This window comes from Homo sapiens, chromosome 4 (assembly GCF_000001405.40).
Source record: "Homo sapiens chromosome 4, GRCh38.p14 Primary Assembly".
NCBI classification, from domain to species: Eukaryota; Metazoa; Chordata; class Mammalia; order Primates; family Hominidae; genus Homo; species Homo sapiens.
The window spans coordinates 77,194,757-77,200,756 of record NC_000004.12 but is presented as its reverse complement, the minus strand read 5'-3'; positions in this window follow the sequence as shown (position 1 = coordinate 77,200,756).

Here is a 6,000-nt window from a genome sequence, read left to right as displayed (position 1 = left end):
TCAATCCACTTAGTACCTGATCATAAGCAAAAAACTTTAAAATGCAATTCCACGTGTTGAAATTTAAGACATCAAGAAAGCCCCTCTGAATCATGGTTGTGACTGAGTATCTACTGGAAGAAGCTTCTATCACCAGGGAGGGTCTTTACCTATGCACTCAAATCCTATGGAGTCTTGGACAAAGCAAAATAGTCACTGAAATATTACACGGCAGGTGACAAACTGACAGCTGGGAGTTCAGCATGTTTCTCTCAGCCTAAGTCAAATGGACACCAGCGAGTTTTCCCGTGCATTGGGTCCTTTGCTGTTGCTAGGCTTTATTTCCGTCAAGACTGATTCATTATTCAAGGGCAGTTACAGGTGTATGTGTACAATAATTATCTTCCATTAGGTCACATGTCTGGCCAGTCTCAAGCTCATCTTTGGTCAAACTGTTCATGTCGCATTAGCTCAAGACCAGGATGGACATATGCAGACTCATCCTAGACAAGTGCTTTTTATGCTGGAGTAATAGCCAAAGTTTAGCTTGGGTGAAACATTGGATGCCTTTGCTGCTGAGTCGAGGGAATCACTGGTTTTTATTCTGAGACAAACTTTCCAAATACTCCTTGGTAAGTGAAATATGGGCAAGTTCTGCCTAAGAGAACAGTAACTAAGATCAAGTTGAGAAGACAGTTGTAGGAAGGACTGCTCCAATTACCATAAAGTGTTAGTTGCCTCCCCAACAGGCTAACTTGCTGGTAGAGGCTCACACAAGGTGAGGGAAACAACTCTTCCATCACACTCAAATCCAAGTGACAAGATAGCCAAGTCTGTTATACAAGCTAATTGGTTAAAGCAGAACACTTGCCAGAGGAGCTCAAGTATTTGGCTCACTTAAATGTCATACACAACAAAGCCAGACAGTGTTTGAGATTCTTCATTACCCTCAGTATCAGTCACAAATAATCTAGCATCATACAGAGAAAGCAGTGAGGGGAAGAGCACAGGAGCTTCCAGGTAATGGCCCTAGTTAACTCCGGGCCTCAAGTGGGTTCATAAACAAGTTGGTCCATGTTCTGGTTAGTATTTTTGTCAACTGCCCCCAAATCCAAGGGAACTGCTTCAGCACAGCCAATGCTACTGATTTGACAGCTTCCTACTTTCTAGATATGCCAAGGGGTTCTATTCTGAGAGAGCCAAGTTAAAAGTTCTTAAACATGGTGGCTGCTGCCTTTCTTCCCTAATTGCAGACACTGGCCTTGCAGCAGCCCAGCCCAGCTTCAGCCTGGGGCTGTCTTTCCTGCTCTTCAGCCTCCCCACAGCTCTGACACAGGTCAGAGGAATGGACACCCATCTACCTTCCTGTGATAACTCCACAAGACCAAAAACTTCCTTCTTGGCAAAAATCACATGCCTCCCGGATAAGCCATCCCAGCTGTCCTAAACCCCAATCCAACCCAAGTCAGTTTCCGTAGAAATAAGTGTTAAGCAGTTGTGTTGAAGACAAGAAGACTGCCCCCTCCTCTCTAGATGAGGTTTGATTAGGTTCAGGTGTTTACCACTGGTCCTTATAGGTAACACATCAACATCAAGTCCAAGTAAATTGAATAAGGTATATACTCCTGTTGGCTTAGAAAGCTAATATAGCACATCACTGAAAAGCACACTCCAGCCTGATTTAGGTATAATAGGAAGGGGAGTTGTGGGCGCTTGAGCTTTTGGGATAGGAATTGGGCACTACAGCATAGATGTTAAATGCTCTCAAGTACTTGATCTCTAGACACCTGTAACCTCTCAGTGTGTTGTCCAGGATCTAAAGAATACCAGTAACCCAAACTGAAAACTGGAAGATATTGAATGAGAGCTACTTGTATTCTTCCCATTTCCCGTGCTCAGGACAAATAAGTTACTAAAATGAGCTTTGGAATGGGTGCTTTAGATATAGATGGCATAGAAGATGCCAGGACAAAGCTTACCCACAATAATCAAAGTGATTGCTAGGGGTATGGAAAATGGTCATATTGCTGACAGAATGGTGTTTTACACAAAGGCAGTCATTCTGACAAAGTCCAAGTAATACAAGTGGTTCTAGCCTACTAGTTCCTGGAAGTTTCCAAGGATTTGCACTCAGACAGCAATACAGACACTACATTCTACCGTCATTTTAGATCAGCATTTCCCTAAAGCGGTAACAAATGAATTAAACAAAAACAAAAACTTAAAGTTATGTTTTATCCAGAGCTGTGCTCTCCAATATAACCACTATTCATTGAGCACTTGATAGGACCCATCTCAATTGATACACTAAGTTTAAAATGCATACCAGGCTCAGTACCAAGAATAAGCTGGGTTACATGTCAAAATAAGCATCTCTTGGGTTAAAGATATTCGTTTTTCTTTAATGGGACTGACTATATATGGCTTATACTTTTGGCTCGTGTGTCTCAGCACTGTTCTAGAGGCTCCTATAAATTCCCTCTAAAGAGGATGCACAGAGAACTTGATCTGGAAGCGTTCCAAACACATTTGCAGATAGGAGTTGAGAGCTCTTTAAAAAGAGGTGATTTCAGAACTAGACAAAATCACAAGACTGTTCTGTTTATATCACATCCCCTTCTATCTGGGAGTTCCTAACCCCAGTCCCAAAGACACATGGCACATTAGGTCCCTTTGACTGTCCTGTTGATCATGACGAATTTTTGCATCTCTACAAGTTCTCCAGACTGTTTCAGCAGTAAAATAGACCAGAAGTCATCCTGGGCTTTCCTAGGCTTCTTCCCCATCTCAACTTAGCCATGCTTCTACCAGGCCACCACATTAAGGAAGTAAGACCACATTGTCATCTACAGGGCTTACCTACTGAAGACAAGTTCCATCCCCCTCACTTTATGCTTCCTAGAGCGCCCAAACTTCTGTCACATAGTTGGGAAAGGTTATTCCAGATTAGACACCAGAATTTAGATACACAAAGGCACTGTAATGTAGCGTTTAGGCCAGAGCTGAAGTCTACTCCATTGAGAATTACTTCACAGGAAAAAACCCAGACTTGAAAGTCAGTTCCAATTCCCAGCCAGCACTCCCTCACCCATTTTCTATTGCCATTAAGTAACAAGCTACAGCTGGGTCTTCATGTTCCTTCAAGCTACGTTGTAAGTTCCTGGAGGGCAGGGACTCCCCTCTGGAGTGTGCTCAGTGTGCAAGGGTGTTAACTAATCTCTCCAGGCCAGTCAGACCAGTCCTGCACAAATGCTTCAACAGGCTCGTTTGCTACCAGCAGTTACTTGCTCCAGTCACCTGCCTCATGACCATTGCTAGGTAAAGCATTTCAGTTTGGGTGGCAGCCGGAGAAACCATTTAGCCCGAATAACCTCCAGCCACCGCTCTGCTCTCACTCAGGGGCTTTTTTAAAGAATCTATTCCCTGAGGAAAAAGATCCCAACCATTTGAAAGTCAGATGTCAGAGGGCCCGTTTGTAGGCACACTACAATTGCTTTATGGATCAGAGGATTCAGAAACAGTGAGGGCCCAGCTCCCTAGTGAGAGCACTTTCTCCAGCACCACCCCCAACTGAAGATCAGACCTACAGTACTGAAACTGATGTCATAGGAGCCGTGAGACCCAGAGTGTGAGCAGTAAGCTGAAATCTGCCACAGAAACAGGATTAAACCAAGATATGGCATCTCCCTATGGGTAGCCTGAGAATTGAGAAGTTAATCCTGTGACCACAGCTGCAAGCTTGAGGCACCTCCCTCATCAGGGACTGATTCGGAGAACTCTAGTGGGCAAGCACCTCAATAAGCAAAAGTATGTTTAGACCCCTCAGACTGTTCCAATGCCTCGGGGATTCTCTGGGCTCCTTGCGGCAGCAGGCCAGCAAGGGGTTCTGCTTACATGCTTCCTGCCACACCTAGAGCAGTCTTACTTTGCTAGATTATGTCAAGATTCTAAAGACTTAAAAGTTACTGGCCCAAATTAAACATGTAATCTGTGTAGATTGGGAGGAAGTGGGTCTTGATAAGTTACCTTTAACAAATCCCTCAAGAAATTAGTTTCTCCTAGAGTCAAGAGTTTCAGTACACCTGGTTCCAGTTTCTATCACTTAGTTCTCACCTTCGACCACCTGTAACTTCTCTCATCTGAATGGCTGACAATTAGGAAGAAAGTCGTCTTCAGCTAGGGACTGTTTTAGACAGGTTTGATGCCAAGAAGTGACATGGCTACCATCAGTTTCCTGGTAAAGAAGCCACTAGCCTCTGGCATCAAGCAGCTCTAGGTAGACACTAGACACTAAGCAGGAACCCCAAAAATAGGTTGAATCCGAAATGGTCTTGGCACAACTGAGGATTTTCAAAGTAATGCTATCCTAAGGGATAGTAAGGATTTGAGCTACTAAAAAGCTGGGTTCTCAGGCAAGCTTTAAGAGACATCAGGAGTTCAGATTGGAGTGAGGCCAGTTGCAAGACAGACAAACACGCATCAGGCCAAAGCTCAGAAGTACATAAGCAGCCTTAGGAATGGCGGGAGTGCCATTGACAAATCCTGCACTACTCCACATCTTGTTCTAAAAGGAAGTTGATATTTGAGATGTTTCAGCCCCTTCTACCTTGCTCTCCAGCCATAACTTTAAACTTGTCTCCTAAGCCATGTGAGTTTTTCTAGAACTATGTGGCATGCCCCAGAAGCCTATGCAATAACACCTACATATAGACATCAGTTCCATAGGACTCACCTGCAGTTGAAACTATAGTTAATTGGGTCGGTAGTAGATATTTTGCTCTGCCTGAGGTGGGAAAGATGAACTTTCCAGTGTCTTTACTGTTAGCCTAGGTGAAAAGTCCTGAAGACCCAGTGATCTATCAGTATTAGTTTGGATTTTTGGTTTTTTTCTTTGAGACGGAGTTTTGCTCTTGTCACCCAGGCTGGAGTGCAATGGTGCAATCTCGGCCCATTGCAACCTCTGTCTCCCAGGTTCAAGAGATGATTCTCCTGCCTCAGCCTCCAGAGTAACTGGGATTACAGGCACCTGCCACCACGCCCAGCTAATTTTTGTATTTTTAGTAGAGATAGGGTTTTCGCCATGTTGGCCAGGCTGGTCTTGAACTCCTGACCTCAGGCAATCCACCCGCCTCAGCCTCCCAAAGTGCTGGGATTACAAGCGTGAGCCACCTCACCCAGCCCAGAGTATTAGTTTTGAAGTAAAGTTGTTTATGTAAAGTTAGTTTTTGTTTCCCTCGGCTTTTATAGTGGTTGAAGTTTACAAAAACGGGAAAAGGATTAGGGAGATAAGGCATCCGTACCATGCACTTAAATTTGACCAAATTCTTATTTGGCAGGACTAAGTCACTGCTGTATTAGCTTCTGGAGTCTATAAAAGCAGAGAAAGTTTTGCTATCAGTAAAAGGACACAAGTACAGGTGAGAATGCTACAGGATGACTAATCAGAAGACTAGTTTTTAATGTTAAGCAACTGTGGAAAAACAAGGCCACCTATTCCCATCCTTGACCATCCTGCAGGAGCCTTCCCTGCCCCAGCACCCCAGCTCTAATTACAGCACTTAACTAACAGTGTTGGAAAGCCTTGGGCTTCGAGATCCCAGACCTGTCAAGTGACTCTTTGTCAAGTGGATTGTCAGCCTGGGAGACACATCCCTTGATCAGATTATCTACATGAAGGAAAGAACTCTGCTCTTCTCCTTGAACCCTGCTTTGTAAGGACAGTGTGAAGAAAGTAACTCCATGCTGATGGGGATGAGGGGAGAGTGCTTCATGTCCCTACCCATGTATTTATTCACCCTTGTTCAGGTTAAGGCAGGTGGACCTACATGACTGGACATGGTTTTAAAAAGCACTTTTCTGTAGCTGGCACGCAAGAATTACGATATTTAAGCTATGTAACTTGCTACCATCGCACCTGTGAAATTGTCAGTCAAGATAATGAACATATCCATCATGCTGTGTACTTTTGAGTCTGTCACTAAGATGCCACTTTATCTTTTCCATGACAGATGGTTTGCCTTT